This window comes from Homo sapiens, chromosome 1 (genome assembly GCF_000001405.40).
Source record: "Homo sapiens chromosome 1, GRCh38.p14 Primary Assembly".
In the NCBI taxonomy this organism is placed as follows: Eukaryota; Metazoa; Chordata; class Mammalia; order Primates; family Hominidae; genus Homo; species Homo sapiens.
Window position 1 is genome coordinate 1307953 of NC_000001.11, and position 22770 is coordinate 1330722.

Consider the following 22770-nt stretch of genomic DNA (forward strand, 5'->3'; position numbering starts at 1 on the left):
CCCCGCCTGTCACCGCCGGGGAGCGTCGCCAAAGTCAGCCGCCCGCGCGCACCGCCCGCTGTCACTGCCGGGGAGCGTCGCCAAGGTCCGCCGCCCGCGCGCGCCGCCCGCTGTCACCGCCGGGGAGCGTCGCCAAACGCCTCTCGCAGCGTCCAGGGACCACCCCGGTCCGGAAGTGAGGCGGGGCCTGCCACGGCCGTCTCCGGGGACAGTCGGTGGAAATGTGGGGCGCGGGGAGGGCGCGGGGAGGGCGCGGGCCCGCCCGCTCCAACCATCCCGGCCGTTGCGCAACTCAGGGCGTTTGCAAAAACCACGTCTGGGAGGACTTGGCCGCAACGCGGCGAACGGGCGCGCTCGGGGAGTGTGGGCGGCGGCGAATGAATGAGCGAGTGAACGAATGCACGCCCGCGAGAGCGCGGGGTGACCGCGTGGTTGGTGCGCGCCTCCCGGGGCGCCGCGATAGAGGTAGAGCGCCTGCGCTCGGCGGCGGGCCGGCACTTTGCAGCCGCTCCCTAAGCCCGGCCCCGCCTCCGCTCCCCGACTCTGGCCGCCGTGGCGCGGTGCCACCGCGCAGGCGCAAGAGCGGCCGGGGCCGGGGGGGAGGGGGGGGGGGCGTGACCAGGCCGCGTCCGCGCGCGCGCAGGATTCCTGCGCTGGAGGCCGCCTCTGACGCCACCGGCTGGGCTCCGCCATGAGTTCGGCGCCGGCCTCAGGCTCCGTGCGCGCGCGCTATCTTGTGTACTTCCAGTACGTGGGCACCGACTTTAAGTAGGTTTCCCAGGCGCAGCGGCGGGCGCCACGTGGGCCCGGGCGGAGGCGGGAAGGAGGGCGCGGGCGGGCAGGCGGATGTCTCTGGACGCGGGTTCCAAACGTTCGGGGAAGGAAGCGGCCCTGGCCTCAGACGGCGGCGGAGACCCCAGGGCAGGGCGCCCCCGGTAACCTCCGCCCGCTTCTGCCCGCAGCGGGGTCGCGGCCGTCAGGGGCACTCAGCGCGCCGTCGGGGTCCAGAACTACCTGGAGGTGCGCTCAGCCGGTCACGGGACGCCCGGTGAGGGGTAAGGGGGAGGCTCCCGCCCGCGCGTCCCCGGGGTCCGGCCTCGCTCACCCGCCCGCCCCGCGGCTCGGTCCTGCAGGAGGCCGCCGAGCGGCTGAATTCCGTGGAGCCGGTCAGGTTCACCATCTCCAGCCGCACGGACGCCGGGGTCCACGCCCTGAGCAACGCGGCGCACCTGGACGTCCAGCGCCGCTCAGGCCGGCCGCCCTTCCCGCCCGAGGTCCTGGCCGAGGCCCTCAACACACACCTGCGGCACCCGGCCATCAGGTGAGCCCGCGACCTAAGCAGCCCTGGGGCTGTGCCTTCCCGACTCCATCTGTCGCGGGCGGAGGCTGGAGATCTGGACAGACTTCCTTGTCTGGTCGGAGCTCGAGGGGGAAGGAGAGCCAATGTGACACCGCGGGCGGGCGGGGTCGTTCCTCCGGTGAGCTTTACCTGCCGCCATAGGGTCCTGCGGGCCTTCCGAGTGCCCAGCGACTTCCACGCTCGTCACGCAGCCACGTCCCGGACCTACCTGTACCGCCTGGCCACTGGCTGTCACCGGCGTGATGAGCTGCCGGTGTTTGAACGCAACCTATGCTGGACTCTCCCGGCAGAGTGAGTGTGGCCCTGACAGCGGGGAGGGGGCGGGCAGGCCGGCCCCACCCTCCTGACGGTCACCCTGGTCCCTGAAGCTGCCTGGATATGGTCGCCATGCAGGAAGCCGCCCAGCACCTCCTCGGCACACACGACTTCAGCGCCTTCCAGTCCGCTGGCAGCCCGGTGCCGAGCCCCGTGCGAACGCTGCGCCGGGTCTCCGTTTCCCCAGGCCAAGCCAGCCCCTTGGTCACCCCCGAGGAGAGCAGGTGAGGAAGGGCCCCTGGGCTGTGGCCCTGCCCTCAAGTCACGTGCTGATTTTAGCTCCAGCACCTCCCCCAGTTTTAAGGCAAGGTGAGGCGGGAGGCAGGCAGCCGGGAGTCCTCAGGACCTGGACAGCTGGAGGGGATTCGCCCGGACGCCCCCCAGCCTCCAGCTGTGCCCTCCCCCCAGGCTGGGGAGCGGAGAACAGGGAAGGCTGCTTGTCTCTGAAAAACCCCTGCCATGCCTGATGGAAGAATGTTGGCAGCTACTGGAAAGGTCTCACTGGTGCCAGTGGTTCTGGTGGGGTGGTTTCTGCTGCCCCCAGCACTGTCCCGAGGGCCACCCACCAGGTGGCAGCTTCTGACCAGAACCTCCCCTATTGGGGTGAGCCCTGAAGGGGGGAAGAACTTCTGCCAGCCCCAGACTTCTGTGGCAGAGCAGCAGGTACAGGACTGGGGGTCTCTGGCACCCGCACCAGCCACGTTCCCAGACCCTGCACCAGGACCCTAGGTGAGGGCCCAGGGCAAGCCCCTCTGGGATGGCCAGGCTACCTGCCCAGCCTCCAGGGTCCTGCTGCCTCCTTGCCCAAGCATTGTTTCTCTGGTTTTAAGCCCCTCCAATGGGCCTCACTGGGGGCAGGAGATCAGCCAGGGCCCCTGGTGGCCAAGCTAGTGGGAACCAGGCTCGTCTTTAGGCCCACCCTGTCACTCTCCCGTCCAAGGCCACATAGTAGGCTGAGGATGGCAAACACTGCCCCACAGACACCTACAGGTACGTATTTTTCCAGGAAGCTGCGGTTCTGGAACCTGGAGTTTGAGAGCCAGTCTTTCCTGTATAGACAGGTAGGCTCTGTTCTGGGGCCGTCCCCAGGGGGTGGGGCTGAGGGTGGGCAGGCCCCTGTGCAGTCTTGGCTCTGGGTCGTGGGCGGCTCTGGGTCACAGGTACGGAGGATGACGGCTGTGCTGGTGGGTCACGGGCGGCTCTGGGTCACAGGTACGGAGGATGACGGCTGTGCTGGTGGGTCACGGGCGGCTCTGGGTCACAGGTGGCTCTGGGTCACAGGTACGGAGGATGACGGCTGTGCTGGTGGCCGTGGGGCTGGGGGCTTTGGCACCTGCCCAGGTGAAGACGATTCTGGAGAGCCAAGATCCCCTGGGCAAGCACCAGACACGTGTAGCCCCAGCCCACGGCTTATTCCTCAAGTCAGTGCTGTACGGGAACCTCGGTAAGAAAAACAGGCACGAGAAGCTCCTGTCATGTGCCCAGTGACTACTGTGGCCGAGGCATGGGGTGGGGGGCCAGGGGCCACTGACGGCAGCAACTGGGGGTGAAGCAGCCCCCCGCCCAGGGCTGCAGTCCCTCAGGCCAGCCCGTAGCCCGTCCTGGGCTGGCCCACTCCCTGGTCATGGGAGTGGTCTCAGCGGTGGGGAGGGTGCTGGGCCGGTCTTGCCCCAGGCTGACGCAGGGTCTGGTCCGTCCACAGGTGCTGCCTCCTGCACCCTGCAGGGGCCACAGTTCGGGAGCCACGGATGACCCTGGACACTCAAGCCAAAGTTAGGCCACACCAGGCCCAACCCTGTGCTGGTCAAGCCAGGGCAGTCACAGCTGCTTGGGGCCCACAGCACTGCTGCCTGGTCTCCACAGTAGCCTCCCTGCCCGGGTCCCAGCACCCTGGATGCCCGTCTCTGTCCCAGGCGGGATGGGGCACAGTGCAGGACACAGCCATGTACACCAAGAAGAGAGTACCAAGTAGTCTTTTGTTCAGCTTTTACTGGAAACTGCTGTCTAGGACCACCTGCCCTAACCAGGAATAAAGGCAAGACAGCCTGGAGACCAGTTTGTTTCTTCAGCTGCAAACAGCTGCCTGGGCAGGCAGGTGACACAAGGCCTCTGTCCCCAGGGATGGGACCTGCAGGGTCTGTTCACCCAGGGCACCCACAGTCCTGAAGTGCAGGCCCAGGGTCTGTCCAGCTGGGAGAGGGCAGAGGTGGCGGCTGGGTGAGTTGCCGGCCTCAGCTGGGGGCCTGGGGGAGGCCCTTCTTCAGCAGAGATGTGAGGAAGCTCCCCAGCTCCTCGTCCTAGGGCAGAGGCAAAAGCATTGTGGGTGGTGCAGGACAGGGAGGAATGTTGATACCTGTGTTGACCGCGGTGGGGTGGGGGTCACCCCTTACCTGGTAGGTCCAGGAGACCAGCAGCACCTTGGTGCCTGGGTCCTCAGAAGGGGCGGCGGCCTGGAGGAGGACGGACTCCACAGTCACAGAGCCGTCTGGGAGGTGCTGCACACAGTGGTCCTTCAGGACGCTGTGGGGAGGCTCGGTGAGACCCTGCCTGGCCTCCAGGGCCCAAGGGAGTGGGGGGGGGGCGGGGCCGGGCGCCCACCTCTTGAGGTGGCTGTAGACGCGCAATGCCGTCTCCTGCTCCTTGCGTGTGTCATGCAGGTGCACGCGGCAGGTGAAGCGCAGCTGGTGCTCAGCCAGACCCAGCTCTTTGAGGGCTTGCTCTGAGGACACCAGCCGGAAGTTCTGTGGGGCAGGGACAGGTCAGTGAGCGCAGCAGCGGCCCTCCCCCCTCCAGAGACCGTCCTGGCACTCACGCTGTCCTTCATGATCAGGGTGCCGTGCAGGAGCCGAGGCTTCTTGGCCTCAGGGAGCAGCCCTGCGGAGGAGGTGGCAGGAGCCATCAATGTGAGGGCCGCTCCCAGCCGCCTGCCCCGAGCACCCTGCCCTGCCCTGCCCAGCCCGCATACCCTGCGCCATCTCCCGCTTCAGCAGCCCCAGCGAGATGCCTACGGGGATGCTGGGGCTTGTGGGCAGCGTCACCGTCTCGCCATTGGCCGGCATGTAGCAGTTGACCCCTGGACCCCGGGGGAAGAGAGAGCCTCAGCCCAGGCTGCCCGTGCTGACCCGAGGTGGGCCCCACGCCGCCCGCCCGGCTGCCTACGGAGCTCCTGCTCGATCTTCTGCTTCAGGAACTCCATCTTCTTGGCCTCGCCATGCACCAGCAGCACGCTCTCCGGCTCTGCCTGGCCCACCAGCTGCATGATGCCCTTGGCGTCCGCGTGTGCGCTGAATGACATGTACTCCACCTGCATCTTGACCTCCAGCTACAGAGGCCACGGGGCGTGGACAGTGGTTACCACCAGGAGGTGCCCCTCGGCCCTGCCAGCCCAGTGCGGGGTCGAGACTCACCACCTGCCGCCCCTCCATCTCGAGCTTCCGCTGCCCGCTGAGGATCTTGTGGCCGACGGTGCCCTGCACGCAGTAGCCGGGCATGATGACCTGGGGGCAGGCACAGAGCTCACAGCCAGGGAACTCCAGCCTTGGCACCTCAAGGCCTTGCCCGGGATGCCCCCGCCTGAACCCCTGGAAGCTGTTTCCACCTGCCAGCGGCGCCCGACCAAGCCTAGCTGCAGACTCCAAAGGGCTCAGGTTTTGGCACAAGACTGTCCAGGGCTGGGCTGGGGCTGTTCTGCCCGAGGTGGACAAGCTGTGTCACAGAGACTGAGCAGCTCCAGGCGGACATCGCCCCCGTTCCCCAGCAGCAGCAGCCACGTCCCTTGGCCAGCACGAGGCCAAGCCAGTGAGAGCTCAGAGACAGCATGGGTGGAAGGACAACCCGTCGGCCTCCAGCTTCCAGATTCCCACACCTCACCATGCCCTCACCATGTTCTTTTCGTTTCCGGCCCATTTCCGGAAGATCTGCAGGGACTGCCCAGCGTGCAGCATTCCTGGCGTGGCAAACACAACCTACAGGACACACAGGGCCAGGTGGGGGGTCAGGGCAGCAGATGCCCCCACCCCCACTGCAGGCCCAAGCCCAGACACCTGCGGAAGACAGGAGACCGACGGGTGTGGATGTGCTGGCCGGCCCTGCCGCGGGCCTCACCATCGGTCCTGGGTTGTCAGCAAAAGCCCGGTCGAAGGCCTTGATGTGCTTGAACTCAAACATGTTCCTCTGCACGAAAGTCTTGCGGATCTTCTGGTTGGTCCAGGGGATGAACAGCTTGTAGTAGTGGTTGGCCTTCTCGGTCAGCCCCGTGGAGAAGTAGATGGGCACCTTCAGGTTCATGCGCTCCCTGGGGACCACCGGCCCAGTCAGCACAGTGGCCACAGGGGAGAATGCTGCAGGGCAGGACTCGGCCGGGTCACCCCCAACACCCGTGTCTGCACAGCCCACGCACGGGCCAGGTTGAGTCCAGTCGCGACCACTTGTCCCATTAAGCCCTGCAGCAGCCGGGCTCAGCGGAGAACCAGGAACCCCTACAAGAGCCGCACACGGTGGCGCTGACGGGATGTCACAGGCTTCCTGGGGTCACACAGCACACGAGCGGCCCCCCAGGACAGCAGCAAGCAGGGCCAAGATGCCACCGCTACGCTGGACAGGGCTGCCCACCAACTGGACTGTGTTCAGGCCGGGCCAGGGGCTCCTTAAAGAGCCGTCCTGGCGGCACCTACCAGAAGGTCTCCAGGAGGATGCAGAGCTCCTGGGCGCGGCCCAGCGCGAACACAGGTATCAGCACCTGAGGGGGACACAAGGCAGGAGCCCTGGGCACATGGCCCCTCGACACAGCAGGCAGCGTCCAGTGAGGGCACGGCCAGGTGCCCAAGAGCTGCGGCCTCATAGGGACCTTAGCCTCTCATCTGCTCCCAGTCCCGTCCCAGCCGCTCTCCAGAGACAGAAGGGAGCCGTATGAGAGACAGGAGGGAGCCGCATGAGAGACAGAAGGGAGCTGCATGAGAGACAGAAGGAGCCTGGCCAGGGCTTCGTCCGCACCTGAGGTAGGAGGGAAAAGGGGCTCCCTAGGAAAGGGTCTCTGAGTTTTCCTCCTCAATGTTGAGCAAATCTTCTTCCCTCCCTGCCTGAAAATGCAGTACCCCCCACCCTGAGACCCTGACCCATGCCAAGGGCAGCCAAGCCTGCCAGAAAGACCAGCCCAGCATGGCCGAGGGCCCATGTCCCCACCCCTGCTGCAGCTACCTTCCCACCACGCTCCACGGTCTCGTGGACTTTCTTCAGGAAGTCTCGCTCCCGGCAGCGCTTGGAGTCACGGATGGTCGTGGCGTACGTGGACTCTGTGATGAGCAGGTTGGGGCGGCACTTGTCAATCCAGGCAGCTCTGGAACACGGGGGTGGGGGTGTGAGCCACGATGCACTGTCCCCACGGTTGCAGGGCTGGGTGTGACAAGCTGGACCCCAGTACCACGCCCAGCCGCCTTCCTAGGTCACTCTGGCTGGAAAGAGCCAGCTGGTAAAATGCTGTGGGCAGCACACTTGGGAAGAGAGAGGAGAGACAGAGGCACCCACCCAGACACTTCGGAAGAGCGAGACAGAGGCACCCACCCAGAGACTTGGGAAGAGAGAGAAGGAGGGACAGAGGCCCCTGCCTGGACCCTGTGCCTTCGCGCATTTGGGCCCAGAACGAAGGGGGCTCTCCAGGCCGCACAGGACATGGGAGACACTGCCAGGCTGGCCACTCAAGGGCTGGCACCCTGACACCTGCAAGGGTCCTGAGCTCCAGGGGGGCCCACGGGACAAAAAGACACCTCAGCCTACTTACCCTAAGTGTCGGTCTGGGGTCATGTTATAATCACCCTGGTGAACGATCAAGGATGCCATGAGGAGGGTGCCTCCCACCCCAGCAGCCCCTCCCAAGCCTCAAGCCCTTCCACTGACCGTGTAGACCACAGACTCTGAGCCCACTTTAATCTGGAACATGGCTGCCCCCAGCACGTGGCCTGCATAGTAGGCCTTGATCTCCAGCTCATCATCTACCTGTGGAGGACAGGGCTGCGCTCAGGCTGTGTCCTCACAGCAGAGGGGCGGGGAGTGAGGGAGGCGGGGGACGGGAAGCGCGGGAGGCGGGGGTGGGGAGCGTGGGGGAAGGGGAGCGAGGGGGCGGGGGCGGGAGCGAGGGAGGTGGGGGCGGGGAGGGAGGGAGGGAGGCGGGCAGCGAGGGAGGCAGGGGCAGGGAGTGAGGGGGGCGGGGGCAGGGAGGGAGGCGGGGCGGGGAGCGAGGGCACTGCACTGAGCTTTTCAGTCCCTGTTGCTCACACACAGCATCCAGTTCACAAGGGACGGGCAACGTGGACAAAGAACGAAAGACAACGGACAAAAAACTGAAGGGACCTGAAATTGGAGTTTCCAGCGTGGACTTTGAATACATGACAGAGAAAAGACAAGGTTCAGAATGTTGGCGGCCAGGCCTAAGGTGGATCCCTTGGGGTCAGGAATTGGAGACCAGCCTGGCCAACATGGTGAAACCCCGTCTCTACTAAAAATACAAAAGTAAGCCAGGTGTGGAAGTGCGTGCCTGTAATCCCAACTGCTCAGGAGGCTGAGGCAGGAGAATCGCTTGAACCTGGGAAGTGGAGGTTGCAGTGTACTGAGATCACGCCACTGCACTCTAGCCTGGGCAATGGGGCGGGACTCCATCTCGGTAAAAACAAACAAAAAAATACTGGGCTGGGCACAGTGGCTCACACCTTTAATCCCAGCACTTGGGGAGACCAAGGTGGGCAGATCATCTGAAGTCAGGAGTTCAAGACCATCCTGGCCGACACGGTGAAACCCTGTCTCTACTAAAAATACAAAAGTTAGCTGGGCATGGTGGTGGGTGCTTGTAATCCCAGCTACTCAGTAGGCTAAGGCAGAATTACTTGAACCCGGGAGGCGGAGATTGCAGTGAGCTGAGATTGTGCCATTGCACTCCAGCCTGGGCAACAAGAGCGAGAGTGTCAAAAACAAAAATTGGCAAAAAACTAGACTTCTTTTAAATTTAATTTATTCATTTAAAACTTGCCGGGTGCGGTGGCTCATGCCTGTAATCCCAGCACTTTGGGAGGCTGAGGCGGGTGGATCACCTGAGGTTGGGAATTCAAGACCAGCCTGACCAACACGGAAAAAGCCCGTCTCTACTAAAAATACAAAATTAGCCGGATGTGGTGGTGTGCGCCTGTAATCCCAGCTACTCGGGAGGCTGAGGCAGGAGAACTGCTTGAACCCGGGAGGCGGAGGTTGCAGTAAGCCGAGATCGCGCCACTGCACTCCAGCCTGGGCGACAGAGCGAGACTGTGTCTCAAAAAAAAATAAATAAATAAAATTGAGAGACAGGGTGGGGCTGTCACCCAGGCTGCAGTGGCGCAATCATGGCTCACTCAAACTCCTGGGCTCAAGCGTCCTCCCGCCTCCACCTCCGCCTCCCAAATAGCTGGGACTATAGGCACGCACCCACCACGCCAGGCTAATTTAAAAACAAAATTTTGGCCAGGCGCAGTGGCTCACTCTTGTAATCCCAGCACTCTGGGAGACCAAGGCGGGTGGATCACCTGAGATCAGGAGTTCAAGACCAGCCTGACCAACATGGTGAAACCCCCGTCTCTACTAAAAAAAAATACAAAATTAACTGGGTGTGGTGGCACACGCCTGTAATCCCAGCTACTCGGGAGGCTGAGGCAGGAGAATCGCTTGAACCCAGAAGGCGGAGGTTCAAGGTGAGCTGAGATCGCACCACTGCACTACAGCCTGGGCAATGAGAGCGAAACTCCATCTCAAAAAAAAAAGAAAAAAAAAAAGAATTCAACAGATGAATTTAACACCATATGACACATAACCAGAAGAGAATCCATGAACTGAAAGACACCAGAGGGAATATCCATCAGGAAACAGGAAAGACAAACAGATGACGGAGTTTCAAGAGGTTGAACGTCAGGCTCTCGGGGTCCCTGGAGGAGCAGGAACGGGGCAGAAACAACACTGGAAGAAACATGATGAAGGCCTCAAGCCACAGATCCAAGAGGCCTCAAACTCTAAACAGGCTGAGGATACATGTCAGCCCATCAGAGCACAAGCACCAAAAACCAAGGCTCCTGCTCAGACCCTACGGCTGCCCATGCCCAGAGACAGAACGTTGTTTGCAAAGTGCAGAGACAAAATACTGTCAACCTAAAATCTTACACACCTAAGGGAAAAAAAGTCCTTTAAGAACGAGGATAAAGTAAATCCATTTGCAGGCAAATAAATTTTTTTTTTTTGAGCCGGAGTCTCGCGTCTCGCTCTGTCTCCCAGGCTGGAGTGCAGTGGTGGGATCTTGGCTCACTGCAAGCTCCGCCTCCCAGGTTCACGCCATTCTCCTGCCTTTCAGCCTCCCGAGTAGCTGGGACTGCAGGCGCCCGCACCACGCCCAGCTAATTTTTTTGTATTTTGTTTAGTAGAGACAGGGTTTCACCGTGTTAGCCAGGATGGTCTCGATCTCCTGACCTCGTGATCCGCCTGTCTCGGCCTCCCAAAGTGCTGGGATTACAGGCGTGAGCCACCGCGCCTGGCCAAGGCAAATAAAAATTGACAGAATTCAGCACCAGCAGACCCACACTCATATTCTTCAGGCAGAAGGCAAATTATCCCAAGTAAAAAGTAGAAAAAATGCAGGAAGCCCAACAAAAAGGATAAATATATAAATAAAACTAAGCAAATGTTGGTGTTACCAGGCATTAGAAATGATGTCTTTCTGGGTTTAAAATGTACTGAGGGAGTTGCCAGGTGTGGTGACTCATGCCTGTAATCCGAGCACTTTGAGAGGCTGAGGTGGGAGGATCCCTGGAGCCCAGCCCAGGAGTTCGAGAGCCTTAGCAACACATACCCATCTCTACAAAAAATACCAAAATAAATTAGCTGGGCGTATGGGCACATGCTTGTAGTCCCAGCTACTTGGGAGGCCGAGGTGGGAGATCACCTCAACCCGGGAGGCCGAGGCTGCAGTGAGCCAAGATCACACTCCAGCCTGGGTAACAAAGTGAGACACTGTCAAAAAAAAAAAAAAATTAAAGTTTCACAACAAAAAAGATAAACATACTTCATTTTGACAAGTTCAATCAGAAAATTAAATGTTCCAAAATACATAGGTACCTAATATAGTTTCAAGAAATATAAAAGCAATACCCAGAGATTCGAGTGAGACACAGACAAACCCATAATCTTTGTCAGAAATGGAATTTCACCTGTCACTCGCTGATTTAACCTTCACTTCTTCCCTGACCCACACCCAGAACCAGGCACCCTCCAGAGCTGGCCCATCTCCCCTCCAGCCCCTGCCTCCCTGCCCGGCAACACCCCGGGAGCTCCAGCGAGTCTCTGGCCGCTCCAAGCGCTCTGAGGGCACCAGCCTGTCCCACTCTGGCCATTTCAATGCCGCTCGGACAGAGCCTGGTGGGTTCATAAGCCGGTGCATACCCCCACCCTGCACGTGCTCTCCCGGGTCGGCGCCCAGTCTGGTCTGGGACCCGCATCCTCGCGCTGACGCCTCCTGGTGTCCCCACGGTGCTGGACGCAAGAGTGAGGTGGGGTGGGCTCACCCTGAGGCCCCAGCCTTCCAGAAACTGTGTAGAACGGGCGGAGGGCATGGTTGGTGTGGGGGTGGGCAGTGACTGTGCCAGCTGTGGCCCTGGGAACCTGACCTGGACCGTCTGGTGGAGGTGGACAGCCACCACCTTCTTCATGCAGTCTTTGATCATCTGGGAGGTGAAGAAGTTGGCCTCGCCCTTCTTGTCTACGGCGATCTTGCGGTAGTCCTCCAGCAAGATGGGGCAGATGGCCTGGGTGGGGTGAGTCATGTAGATGGGCCCGTCGTAGCCCACCATCTCGCTGAAGTAGGGGAGTGCCCCGCAGTGGTCCAGGTGGAAGTGGCTAGGGGGACGCAGCACAGGTCAGCCTGGGCCCACCCTGCCCCAGCCTTCACCCCCGCTCTGGGCTTGTGGGTCACTGGCCCCTTCATTCGCCTGCTGTGCGCCAGGCCTCATCCCGAGTACCGAAGAGTCAGTAATGAGCAAACACAAAACTGTCTCCCTGGAACTTTCAGTCTCAAAGTCTAGCAAGGCAATAAGCAAACGGGAAATTGAACACGTCGGTGACGGCGACATGCTCGCGAGACAATGCAAAGCTGCTGAGGGAACCGCGCATAGGGGAGCCGCTGGCTTTTCAGGCAGTCAGGACAGGCTGAGTGGAGCTGCAGGTGAAGGTGGCACAGACCTGAGGGCAAGGGCAGCGCCTGGCAAGCCCCAGGAAGGCACTGGGGACCCCACCGTGTCTGAGAAGAAACCACAACCACGAGGGGCTCAGGGGCAGCTGAGGACACTGCCTCCGGAGAGGAGAAGGGGCTTCTCCAGGCTTCACGGGCCTGGCTGCTGGGGAGGACAGGGCAGGGAAGGGCAGGGGGCCAGCAGGAGTGCTGTGGCCGTCCAGACGAGGCCACCCAGACCAGCGGGTCATGAGCTGCTGAACCCTAAAGGCTGGGGTCAGGGCAGACTCGGGACTCTGGAATCGCCAACAAGACAGTGGGGTTTAAAGATCCTGAGACAGTGAAGGCATCAGAGAGGGTGAAGCCTGGAGGGCCGGGTTCAGAAAGTAGGGTTCAGAGGGCAGGGCCGGAAGAACAGACAGAGACCAGGCCATGTGTGTGACCAGTAAGGCAGGCAGGGAGCAGATCCTGGGGCCTAGAAGCCCCCTGAGGATCAAGGATGGCACAGGCCCCTTGCCAAACGCTGCCGAGACCAAGCAAGGTGGCCCAAGCCCCACAGGCACAGACATGGGACCCTCAAGGCCCCCAACAGGAACCCACCTAATGATCACACAGTCCAGGAAGTCTGTTAGGCGGCCGTTCTGGGTGATGTAGGAGAAGTCAGGGAAGCGTCGCTAGGAAGGATGTGGGGGTTTCAGGTTGCACAGTGGTCTCCAGGCAGCATCTGGGGCCACCCATGCCCCAGGGAGGGGCCCCCAGGAAGGGGGGTTCTATGTGCAGACTCAGGCTGGGCACTCCCATCCCGCAGGTGGCACCAGGACCCCTGGCTGCTCACAGCATCCGGAGGGGCCGAGGTTACCCCCAACCTCACTGACAGATGTGAGCTGGAAGCTGAGCCCAGGGTCTCACGGAGTCCAGCCTACAGGACCCCGGGGCTGGGGCTCAGCGCCAGCACAGGGGGACCCCACCATGCAGGGGCTCACCTCGGCCAGGCCCACCCATCCCTGCTCCCCACAGGGTGCAGCCATCCAAGCACAACCACTGCTGCCCACCACCCCACTGTCCCGGCTCTGAGGCCCAGGGTCCAGCTGTGGATGGCCGGCTCTCCCAGCCTCTGGGCCTCCTGCCCAAGGGACTCACGTCGTCATTGAAGCCCATGTGCATTCCACAGTCCAGCATGACATTCTTGCCCGCAATGGAGACCAGGATGCAGCTTCGGCCCACGTCCTGGCCGGCCCCTACTCGAGGGAGGGCAGATGAGTCACTGCTGCGCCCCCCGCCCCCTGTGCTGCCTCCCCAAGCTCTGCAGGACCCCAGTGCACTGAGGAAACCGGACCAAGTCTGCTGTGTGGACAGACACATGGGCCAAGAAGCAGGGCCACCCCTACTCACAGGAAGGGGGACACAGGGGACCATGCCCCACACCATCATGTCCAGGGTGGAGGCTGGCAGCCCACACGCCCTCCCCCGCCAGCTTCCCCTGGCCTCTTAAGGTGGCCACGGCCTGCTGGCTAAGTAGTGGGCACTGTGCTGTGGCCCTCAGCCTCCAACAGAGACAACGGCTGGTCTGTGGGGCCAACACCTCGGTCAGAGTCACTCCTGGGCTGTGGCTGGACCCCCAGCAGAGCTGCAAACCAATGAGGCCACCTTCTCCAGGATCTTTCCCCAGGCAGGCAAGGCAGTAAGTGACTAAGTGCTGGCACTGGGTGTTCTCTGGTGGTGCGGCTGTGGAGGGGCGCCACACAGCCTCAGCCATGCCATAGCGAACACGGTGCCAGTGGTCCAGCAGTGGCCAGCGTGGCAACACGAGCCTCACACCACTGCACACCATGCAGCCCCCAACACAGACCCTCATCTGCAGCCCTCCCACACTCCTGACAGCCAAGCAGCCCTGCCCAGCTGCTCCAGCCAGAGGCCTTGGCCAGCCAAGGCACACTCAGCCCCCTCATGTGGCCTGGGGGCCCGAGAGGAAAGGGTCACGGCCCCTGCACAGACTGTGCCTGGGCAGGAGTCTGATGGCAGTGAACAGTTTTCCCCTTGAATCCCACCCACCTCCCCCTGCCAGCCACTCGAAGTGTCCAAAGCCAGCACCACACATCAGGATGACGGGGCCACAGCCGAGGGGCTGCCTGCCACAGAGAGGGGATCTCAGGTTCTCTTCCAGGCCTGTTCCTGCCCCCGCTGGGTGTGAGCTCTCTGAGAGCAGGGTCTCAGCTGTCTCCTCCCTCTGCATCTCCTACCCCAAGCCACGCCAGGCTCACAGAGGCCCTCTGGCACCTGTGGGAAGGGAGGGCCGCCCCTCTTCATGCCCAGGGACCTAAGGCCACAGAGGCACTTGTGGCACACGGCCCCGAGGCATGGGGCCCGGGCTGGTTTTCTGAATTCCAAAGCCCAGTCCTGAAGTACTGGCAGTCCCGCCTCCCGACAGGACCCACAGTGATCCCAGGAAGGAAAGTGGAAAGGTGCGGGAATAGAGCCTGGAGATACACGAGGGGACAGGGCTCAGAAGACAGGAGGAGATATCCCTGTCAGCAAGGAGACAGACGGCAGACAAACAAGACACCCAAAGCACGCCAGACGAAGGTTACTATGACAGAAAAGAGCAAGGTGAGAGAATGAGGAAGCCTCAAAACTTCCAGAACCATGACAGGAGACTGCTCCGAGAAGCCAACTTTTGAGCAGGGGAGGGGAGGGGTAGGGTGGGGGAGGGGGAGGGACGGGGTGGGGAAGGGATGGTCCAGGGGAGGAGAAGAAGCGGGGCGGGCGGAGGGAGGACAGGCAGCAGGGAGGGACAGGCAGGGGGGAGGGAAGGGACCAGCAGGGGGAGGGACGGGCAGGGTGGGTGGGGGGACCGGCGGTGGGGAGGGATGGGCAGGGTGGGTAGGGGGACCGGCGGCGGGGGGGGTAGCCACACACAGGCCAAGGCGTGGGAGTGACCCCAAGGACACAGCAGTGGTCCAGTGAGCGCGGACACGGAGCCCGAGGCAGTCCCTGGTGCAGGGAAGCGGTGAAACAGGACTTCGGCTTTGATGATACCTTGGCTGAGGTGACCTTGAGAATATACCCAGGTACAGATTGCGGGTAATTGAAGCCACATGAAAGATCAGAAAGATCAGATGTCCAGAGAGTGGGCAGAACAGGCAGCCAAGAGGCCAAATGGGAAAGGGGCAGGCTGGGAGGACCCCACGGAGGACCCAGAGAGCAGGGGAGGGCAGTGGGGCCCATGCAAACAGCTGCAAAATGCCATGGGGTGTGCACAGGCCAGGGGTGTTCACAGCACAGTGTCCACACCGGGGCGGGGGGCACCCTCCGAGGAAGCGCTCACGCCATGGGGGAGGACATGGAATCCCGTCCTGGTGTCTGTGCTGGAAGGTGCCCTCGACCCCCTGCCCGGTGGAAGGACCAGGTTCCAGGACAGCACAGGGCAGGCACCTGTGGAAAACGCTAAGGACATCAGGATGACTGGCCACCAACACCATGTCCCTCCAGCTGTTTCTGAGACCCTGGATTTTGACTAATTTTTTCCTTCTTCACATCGTTCTATACTGTTACGACTTTGACTTTCTTTTGAGACATGGTTTTGCTGTCACCCAGGCTGGAGTGCAGTGGCACAATCATGGCTCACTGCAGCCTCAACCTCCTGGGCTCAAGCAATCCTCACAACTCAGCCTCCCAAGTAGCTTGAACCACAGGCACACACCACCACGCCCTGCCAATTTTAGCATTTTTTTTTTTTGGAGTGATGGGGTCTTGCCATGTTGGCTAGGTTGGTCTTGAACTCCTGGGCTCAAGCGATCCTCCCACCTCTGCCTTCCAAAGTGCTGTGATTGCAGGCGTGAGCCACAGTGCCCAGACTGTCAGGACTTTTAGGAGTACATATTTGCGTTTTTTGCTATTTTTTTCAGTGTTGCAGAAATCAGGTAGAACAAGAGCTAAAGTGAGAGTTGATTGTAACTCGGGCGTGAGCACACAGAGTGGTGGACAGAAAGCAAGACGTGAGGAGGCAGAAGCGGGGCTGGGGGGCTGAGGGGCTTGCGGGGTTAAGGGGCTTGGGGGCTGGGGGACTGGGGGGCTGAGGGGCTGGGGGGCTGAGGGTCTGGGGGTCTGCTGGGCTGAGGGGCTGGGGGACTGAGGGGCTGGGGGACTGAGGGTCTGCTGGGCTGAGGGTCTGGGGGACTGGAGCGCTGGGGGGCTGGGGGGCTGAGGGACTGAGGGGCTGAGGGGCTGGGAGGCTGAGAGGCTGGGGAGCTGGGGGGCTGAGGGTCTGCGGGGCTGAGGGGCTGGGGGGCTGGGGGGCTGAGGGGCTGGGGGGCTGAGGGGCTGGGAGGCTGAGAGGCTGGGGAGCTGGGGGGCTGAGGGTCTGCGGGGCTGAGGGGCTAAGGGACTGAAGGGCTGGTAGGGCTGGAGGCGGCAGCGCGCGGCACGGGGAGGTCAAGGCACCGACGAAAGCGCACAGCGAGCGCGAAGGCCCCGCGGCCCCATCTGCGACGTCCCCTCACGGCCGCCTGAACCTCGGGGCTCGCGTTCTCGCGTCACTGCCGGAGGCCCGGGGTGCAGGGACTAGGCCGCCTCTCGGCTCCCACCAGGGCCCGCGCGGGGAGGAGACCGGAGGACGCCCGCGGCGCGCACCTGGCTCCACGAGAAACGGGAGGGAGCGGGGCGCCCAGCCCGCCCGGAGCCGCATACGGAGCCCACCCCACAGCCCTCCCGGCGGCTCCCACTCACCCAAGGGCGTGACTCTGATCTCAGGCATCGTCTCCGCCGCGCTCCCGGACCCGCGAGGCCCGCCTGCGGTGATGCACTGCGCAGGCGCAACCACCTCGCTGCAACTTCCGGTGCGCTAGCCGGAAACGCGGGTCGGGGCGCCGGGCCTCCTGATTGGGCAGCATCCAACCAATCAGGGCGGCGGGCGAGGGCGGGGCGAGGGCGGGGCGGTGGGCGGGGACGGGGCCCGCACGGCGGCTACGGCCTAGGTGAGCGGCTCGGACTCGGCGGCCGCACCTGCCCAACCCAACCCGCACGGTCCGGAAGTCGCCGAGGGGCCGGGAGCGGGAGGGGACGTCGTCCTAGAGGGCCGGAGCGGGCGGGCGGCCGAGGACCCGGCTCCCGCGCAGGACGGAGCCGTGGCTCAGGTCGGCCCCTCCCCAACACCACCCCGGGCCTCCGCCCCTTCCTGGGCCTCTCGGTGGAGCAGGGACCCGAACCGGTGCCCATCCAGTCCGGTGCCATCTGAAGCCCCCTTCCCAGGTGAGACTCGTAGCGCTCGCTCGACAGGGTCTGGTCCCACCCACAAGGCCTGGGGCGCCGTGGGGCCCCGTCTCCTGCTGGCCCCCCAGCCTGCTGTCAGCCCCCGTGCTCTGTGCTCAGGCCGCCCTCGCGCCCGGCCCTGACCTTGGGCCGTTGGGCTGCCCTGGGAAAGGCCTGGAGGTGTCCTGGGTCACCTTCCTGGGCTGGCAAGCTGCCTGCCTCCTGCACAGCCACTGCCCTTCCTGTTGTTACCGAGCCACCAGCCACAGCTCTGAGAAGCTCCTGGCAGCTTCTGTTTGCCACTGGCTCGAATCTGGGCAGGAAGGCAAGGCCCGCAGAATATCTGGTGACCAAGAAGGAAACCCCAGAGCCTCAGAGACCATCTTCTCAGTGGACAAAATTAAGGCCCGAGGAGGGGAGGGGCGTGCTGGAAGTCTATGGGACTGCATCTTTCTGAGGCCCAGGAGCAGCCATCCCCCACACCTGAAGCCCGGTGAGCTCACATCTGGGGCCTCCGCCTGGTGCCAAGCATGCAACCCAACCTGTGGGGCCTGCAACGCCAGGCTTCAGCACCCTGCAGGCACCAGTGCTCCAGCAGCCTGGGCCACGGGCTGGGCAGGGCTTGCAGCCCATGATCCCTAGTGATGAAGGGCCCAGTCCTAGGGTGCTGAGCAACCTGCCCACCTGCTCCTGGCCAGGAGCTCTCACCACGGCTGGGTGCCCTTCCCCCTCCCCCACCGATGGAGTCCCTGCAGCCAGGGAGGCCAGGACAGGGCTCCCAGCACCAACCGGCCTAGGAACCCCCAGGCCCTCTTCCTGGTCGAGGTGGAATGCAGCTGACTCTCAGGTTCCCCAGAGCAGGTGCGGGCCCGTGGGGCACCCGGGGAGACAGGGCAAGGGTGCTTGGCAACACTCACACAAAGCATGGGTGCCTGGATGTCTGTGGATCTGTGGAGTGACTATGTGAATGCCAGCAGAATCCAAAGCAGGGCCTGGGCCACTCGTGGAAGGCTCCCTAGGGCTAGTACAAGAGCCTCGTGGCAATCTTCTGAGTGGTAAAACCCATCTGTGTGGGACATGGAGTTTCAGCAACAGGAGTGAAAACACGTGTCCATCCATCCAGCAAGTGCCAGCCCTACAGCCTCTTTTCTGCTTTTGGGGATGTAGCAGTGAGGAAGATGGGGCAGCCTGCCCGGCAGCATCCCCCCACCCCCGGCCCCACCTGTCTCTGCTTTCTGCTGTGTCTGTTTTCTTGTCTAGGACTTCAGAACTTCCTGTCTTTGTTGTCATCTGACCCCACCCCAGATGGCTGCTCGCACTCCCCATGCACCCAGATAGATGGCTAGGATGGTGCTTGGCTCTCGGCAGGGGCTTAGTATTTCTCCAGCTGGTAAAAGCAGATACAGCATCTAGAGAGAGAAACAAAAACAAGAAAGCACCAGCAGAGACACCTGCTGCAGACAGCGGGGCCTAGTGGTCTGATAAAGCCAGAGGGGGCCACTCTCGGGGTCAGGGACTGACACGGAGTCAGTGGCCTGATCCACAGGAGGGGCTGTGCCAAGGTCCCTGAATGCGCAATCCTGATGAAGGGTGGGTCAGGGTGGTGTGCCTGAGAGCCTGCGGCTTGGCTGGGAGCAGAGCCAGGCAGCTCCTGGGAGGAAGCTCCATGAGGGGCATGAGTGTTCAGTGAGCGGCAATGGGATCGCAGCTATTTTGTTCCCCTCCACACACAGAAAATGAGCCACAGAGCAAGCTGACCCCAGCGACACAGCCCCCCAGCCCTACTGTATTTCCGTTCCTATCAAAAAATGGATGACTCGGAGACAGGTTTCAATCTGAAAGTCGTCCTGGTCAGTTTCAAGCAGTGTCTCGATGAGAAGGAAGAGGTCTTGCTGGACCCCTACATTGCCAGCTGGAAGGGCCTGGTCAGGTGCGTGTGCCAGGGCTGCCTCCTGAGGTGGGCGCTCCCCTGGCCCGAGTCCCATATGTGGCATCTGCCTCCCGACTGCCTGTCCCCACCAGCTTTGCTGCCCGTTTCCAGATGGGTGTGAGCCCCCGCAGGCTGGGCAGCGTCCCCTGCACCCCAGGCGGGCTGCCCCAGGCCTGGGCGAGGACTCGAGCCCCGCTCCCTTCCACAGGTTTCTGAACAGCCTGGGCACCATCTTCTCATTCATCTCCAAGGACGTGGTCTCCAAGCTGCGGATCATGGAGCGCCTCAGGGGCGGCCCGCAGAGCGAGCACTACCGCAGCCTGCAGGCCATGGTGGCCCACGAGCTGAGCAACCGGCTGGTGGACCTGGAGCGCCGCTCCCACCACCCGGAGTCTGGCTGCCGGACGGTGCTGCGCCTGCACCGCGCCCTGCACTGGCTGCAGCTGTTCCTGGAGGGCCTGCGTACCAGCCCCGAGGACGCACGCACCTCCGCGCTCTGCGCCGACTCCTACAACGCCTCGCTGGCCGCCTACCACCCCTGGGTCGTGCGCCGCGCCGTCACCGTGGCCTTCTGCACGCTGCCCACACGCGAGGTCTTCCTGGAGGCCATGAACGTGGGGCCCCCGGAGCAGGCCGTGCAGATGCTAGGCGAGGCCCTCCCCTTCATCCAGCGTGTCTACAACGTCTCCCAGAAGCTCTACGCCGAGCACTCCCTGCTGGACCTGCCCTAGGGGCGGGAAGCCAGGGCCGCACCGGCTTTCCTGCTGCAGATCTGGGCTGCGGTGGCCAGGGCCGTGAGTCCCGTGGCAGAGCCTTCTGGGCGCTGCGGGAACAGGAGATCCTCTGTCGCCCCTGTGAGCTGAGCTGGTTAGGAACCACAGACTGTGACAGAGAAGGTGGCGACCAGCCCAGAAGAGGCCCACCCTCTCGGTCCGGAACAAGACGCCTCGGCCACGGCTCCCCCTCGGCCTATTACACGCGTGCGCAGCCAGGCCTCGCCAGGGTGCGGTGCAGAGCAGAGCAGGCAGGGGTGGGGGCCGGGCCTGCAAGAGCCCGAAAGGTCGCCACCCCCTAGCCTGTGGGGTGCATCTGCGAACCAGGGTGAAGTCACAGGTCCCGGGGTGTGGAGGCTCCATCCTTTCTCCTTTCTGCCAGCCGATGTGTCCTCATCTCAGGCCCGTGCCTGGGACCCCGTGTCTGCCCAGGTGGGCAGCCTTGAGCCCAGGGGACTCAGTGCCCTCCATGCCCTGGCTGGCAGAAACCCTCAACAGCAGTCTGGGCACTGTGGGGCTCTCCCCGCCTCTCCTGCCTTGTTTGCCCCTCAGCGTGCCAGGCAGACTGGGGGCAGGACAGCCGGAAGCTGAGACCAAGGCTCCTCACAGAAGGGCCCAGGAAGTCCCCGCCCTTGGGACAGCCTCCTCCGTAGCCCCTGCACGGCACCAGTTCCCCGAGGGACGCAGCAGGCCGCCTCCCGCAGCGGCCGTGGGTCTGCACAGCCCAGCCCAGCCCAAGGCCCCCAGGAGCTGGGACTCTGCTACACCCAGTGAAATGCTGTGTCCCTTCTCCCCCGTGCCCCTTGATGCCCCCTCCCCACAGTGCTCAGGAGACCCGTGGGGCACGGAACAGGAGGGTCTGGACCCTGTGGCCCAGCCAAAGGCTACCAGACAGCCACAACCAGCCCAGCCACCATCCAGTGCCTGGGGCCTGGCCACTGGCTCTTCACAGTGGACCCCAGCACCTCGGGGTGGCAGAGGGACGGCCCCCACGGCCCAGCAGACATGCGAGCTTCCAGAGTGCAATCTATGTGATGTCTTCCAACGTTAATAAATCACACAGCCTCCCAGGAGGGAGACGCTGGGGTGCACTGGGTGCCTGATTTCCTGCAGGGGGACACAGGGGCACCCAGTGAGGGTGGGGAGGGCCCTCACCCCAGGGACACAGCTGAGGTGGGTGCACCTAACTCCAAGGGAGCTGAGGCCCCACTGCCAGGCTCAGGGGGCTGTGTTAGCCCCAGGGCTCAACAAACACCCTGAGAAAAGGCCAGCCTTGGAGGCAGGGCTGCTGTGTGCCCATTCTCCCAGAGAGGTCCCATCACTATGCCTGTTGTACAGGTGAGACAAGAGAGAGACAGAGTCACCCAGAACCAAGAGGCTGGGTTGGGAGGACGGTTGGGAGGGCAGACATCCGCCTCTCCATGCAAAAGAGGAGAGGCCTGCGTGGGATGTGTGCGTGGAGGTGGGGGCCACTCCCAGCCACAACAGTGGCCTGGACAGAAAGGGGATGCAATTCAGCAGAGTCTTCCTGGATGTCACCCCCACCTCAGGGTCTGTGGGAGCTGCATATGGTGCCGGCAAAGGCTGCCGACTGCAGTATGGGCCGGGAGAACTGCCTGGGTCTGCGTGGGCCCCAGGGCAGGGCTCCCTCCGGGTGTTGCCTTCTGTACAAGTGCCATGCTTGTGCCGTTTGCGTGTCCCAAGTGCGAGTGTGCTATTTGCGTGTGCCGCACGTGTGCCGTTTGCATGTGCTGTTTGCATGTACCATGTGCATGTGTGCCATCTGTGCAATGTGCAGGTGCCAGTTGCATGTGCCATGCGTGTTGGCCGTGAGCGTGTGCTGTTTTCGTGTATGTGCCATGCACGTATGTGCTGCGTGTTGGCCGTGCACGTGTGCCACGTGCATGTGTGCCATTTGTGTATGCCGTGTGTGCTGTGAGCGTATGCTGTGCGCATGTGCGTGCCATGTGCTTTGCGTGTACCATGTGTGTGCTGTTTGCATGTGCCATTTGTGTCATGCACGTGCCATTTGCGTGCGATGCGCGTGTGCCACACGTCGTTTGCTTGCGTGCCATGCATGTGTGGCATTTGTGTATGTGCCGTTTCCGTGTGTATTGTGTGTGCCGTGTGTGTGCCATTTGCATGTGCCGTTTTGTGTGTGCCATGCGCGTGTGCCATGCACTTGCCGTGCGTGTGCCATTTGTGTGTACCATGCGCATGTGCCATTCGTGTGCACCGTACACGTGTGCCATTTGCATGTATGCTGTGCACGTGTGGCATGCATGTGTGCCGTTTGCATGCCATGCATGTGTTCCTTGCGTGTGCCGTGCGTGTCCCATGCACGTGTGCCGTGCATGTGCCATTCGCGTGTACCATGCGCATGTGCCGTTTGTGTGTGTGCCGCATTCCTGTGCTCGTGTGCCAGGTTCGCATGTGCGCCATATTCACGTGTGCTCAGCATGTGCCATATGCATGTGCGGTGGTAGTGTGTGTCCCTCACAGGTCCTCCTCACAACACCATGGGGAAGAAGCACCAGCCAGGGCACACCTCCTGGTATCTGCTAGGTCTGCCAGGCCCTAGCTGAAGCTGAGTGCCCCCCAGTTCCCCTGGGAGGGCCTGCGCCTGGAGTCTGCTGTGTCCCCGAGGGCACCCCCAAAGCAACACAGAGGCAGAGGAGTCCCGGCCCTGCACACCTGGTGCTGCTCCAGCTGCCGCTCATTTGCCTGTGGCCCTTCCTCCCTTGTTTGCGTGCCCCCCTGGCAAACAAACTCTACCCCCAGCAGGAGCCACCTGTGTGCCTGCCACGCAGGAGTGGCCCAGACGGGGGTCAGCAGTGTGAGTACAGCTGGCCATGCGGTTCCTACAGCTTCCAGGCGTCAGACTCTGGCAGAAGGGCTGAGACCCTCAAGGAACTCT

General features: G+C 62.6%; 3 protein-coding genes and 1 non-coding gene across 19 annotated transcripts, besides 10 other annotated features; 2 read left to right on the top strand and 2 right to left on the bottom strand.

The window, feature by feature from the left end:
- Positions 7-686: a silencer, noted in NCBI's record as "silent region_55". NCBI's record gives its function as "represses an Ori minimal core promoter by ATAC-STARR-seq in GM12878 lymphoblastoid cells {active_cell/tissue: GM12878}" and the evidence as "EXISTENCE:reporter gene assay evidence [ECO:0000049][PMID:35858748]".
- On the top strand, positions 645-3725 carry PUSL1 (pseudouridine synthase like 1). Of its 7 annotated transcripts, none has more exons than NM_001346116.2 (8): positions 645-768; positions 963-1020; positions 1134-1321; positions 1502-1651; positions 1729-1899; positions 2682-2736; positions 2888-3119; positions 3378-3725. In NM_001346116.2, exons 1-8 carry the CDS (start codon positions 692-694, stop codon positions 3425-3427), a joined length of 981 nt encoding a protein of 326 aa, NP_001333045.1. In that variant the 5' UTR covers positions 645-691; the 3' UTR covers positions 3428-3725. The 7 variants fall into 7 exon arrangements, 6 of the variants coding, with proteins under 6 accessions (NP_001333045.1, NP_699170.1, XP_024308825.1 ...); NM_153339.3 differs by having other exon boundaries at positions 2957-3119; XM_024453057.2 differs by having other exon boundaries at positions 1754-1899; positions 2940-3119.
- Positions 907-976: a silencer, noted in NCBI's record as "silent region_56". NCBI's record gives its function as "represses an Ori minimal core promoter by ATAC-STARR-seq in GM12878 lymphoblastoid cells {active_cell/tissue: GM12878}" and the evidence as "EXISTENCE:reporter gene assay evidence [ECO:0000049][PMID:35858748]".
- Positions 1007-1146: a silencer, noted in NCBI's record as "silent region_57". NCBI's record gives its function as "represses an Ori minimal core promoter by ATAC-STARR-seq in GM12878 lymphoblastoid cells {active_cell/tissue: GM12878}" and the evidence as "EXISTENCE:reporter gene assay evidence [ECO:0000049][PMID:35858748]".
- Positions 1157-1286: a silencer, noted in NCBI's record as "silent region_58". NCBI's record gives its function as "represses an Ori minimal core promoter by ATAC-STARR-seq in GM12878 lymphoblastoid cells {active_cell/tissue: GM12878}" and the evidence as "EXISTENCE:reporter gene assay evidence [ECO:0000049][PMID:35858748]".
- INTS11 (integrator complex subunit 11) lies at positions 3648-16708 on the bottom strand. 8 transcript variants are annotated; one of them, XM_011541647.2, is made up of 19 exons: positions 16629-16708; positions 15229-15335; positions 13956-14028; positions 13044-13141; positions 12504-12577; positions 11344-11572; positions 7568-7666; positions 7452-7486; positions 6872-7010; positions 6349-6413; positions 5780-5969; positions 5557-5640; positions 5083-5172; positions 4835-4997; positions 4641-4748; positions 4488-4549; positions 4274-4416; positions 4066-4195; positions 3648-3972 (listed from the first exon to the last, which is right to left on the bottom strand). In XM_011541647.2, exons 1-19 carry the CDS (start codon positions 16654-16656, stop codon positions 3907-3909), a joined length of 1983 nt encoding a protein of 660 aa, XP_011539949.1. In that variant the 5' UTR covers positions 16657-16708; the 3' UTR covers positions 3648-3906. The 8 variants fall into 8 exon arrangements, with proteins under 8 accessions (XP_011539949.1, XP_011539950.1, NP_001243385.1 ...); XM_011541648.2 differs by having other exon boundaries at positions 13956-14032; NM_001256456.2 differs by having other exon boundaries at positions 13956-14032; positions 14940-15335.
- On the bottom strand, positions 4550-4614 carry MIR6727 (microRNA 6727). Its single transcript, NR_106785.1, has one exon. It is a non-coding gene; the product is annotated as a microRNA 6727 (primary transcript).
- Positions 10330-11020: an enhancer, noted in NCBI's record as "H3K27ac-H3K4me1 hESC enhancer chr1:1253662-1254352 (GRCh37/hg19 assembly coordinates)". NCBI's record gives its function as "activates a minimal SCP1, AML or CMV promoter by ChIP-STARR-seq in naive H9 embryonic stem cells {active_cell/tissue: H9 hESC(naive)}" and the evidence as "EXISTENCE:reporter gene assay evidence [ECO:0000049][PMID:30033119]".
- Positions 11021-11711: an enhancer, noted in NCBI's record as "H3K27ac-H3K4me1 hESC enhancer chr1:1254353-1255043 (GRCh37/hg19 assembly coordinates)". NCBI's record gives its function as "activates a minimal SCP1, AML or CMV promoter by ChIP-STARR-seq in naive H9 embryonic stem cells {active_cell/tissue: H9 hESC(naive)}" and the evidence as "EXISTENCE:reporter gene assay evidence [ECO:0000049][PMID:30033119]".
- Positions 13897-14405: an enhancer, noted in NCBI's record as "H3K4me1 hESC enhancer chr1:1257229-1257737 (GRCh37/hg19 assembly coordinates)". NCBI's record gives its function as "activates a minimal SCP1, AML or CMV promoter by ChIP-STARR-seq in naive H9 embryonic stem cells {active_cell/tissue: H9 hESC(naive)}" and the evidence as "EXISTENCE:reporter gene assay evidence [ECO:0000049][PMID:30033119]".
- Positions 15169-15678: an enhancer, noted in NCBI's record as "H3K4me1 hESC enhancer chr1:1258501-1259010 (GRCh37/hg19 assembly coordinates)". NCBI's record gives its function as "activates a minimal SCP1, AML or CMV promoter by ChIP-STARR-seq in primed H9 embryonic stem cells {active_cell/tissue: H9 hESC(primed)}" and the evidence as "EXISTENCE:reporter gene assay evidence [ECO:0000049][PMID:30033119]".
- Positions 16497-16626: a silencer, noted in NCBI's record as "silent region_59". NCBI's record gives its function as "represses an Ori minimal core promoter by ATAC-STARR-seq in GM12878 lymphoblastoid cells {active_cell/tissue: GM12878}" and the evidence as "EXISTENCE:reporter gene assay evidence [ECO:0000049][PMID:35858748]".
- Positions 16807-17306: a silencer, noted in NCBI's record as "silent region_60". NCBI's record gives its function as "represses an Ori minimal core promoter by ATAC-STARR-seq in GM12878 lymphoblastoid cells {active_cell/tissue: GM12878}" and the evidence as "EXISTENCE:reporter gene assay evidence [ECO:0000049][PMID:35858748]".
- Positions 16850-20944, top strand: CPTP (ceramide-1-phosphate transfer protein). 3 transcript variants are annotated; one of them, XM_011542200.3, is made up of 3 exons: positions 16850-18011; positions 18884-19080; positions 19289-20944. In XM_011542200.3, exons 2-3 carry the CDS (start codon positions 18959-18961, stop codon positions 19809-19811), a joined length of 645 nt encoding a protein of 214 aa, XP_011540502.1. In that variant the 5' UTR covers positions 16850-18011; positions 18884-18958; the 3' UTR covers positions 19812-20944. The 3 variants fall into 3 exon arrangements, with proteins under 3 accessions (XP_011540502.1, XP_005244858.1, NP_001025056.1); XM_005244801.5 differs by having other exon boundaries at positions 16850-17643; NM_001029885.2 differs by having other exon boundaries at positions 16850-17150.
- The last annotated feature ends 1826 nt before the right edge of the window (positions 20945-22770 follow it).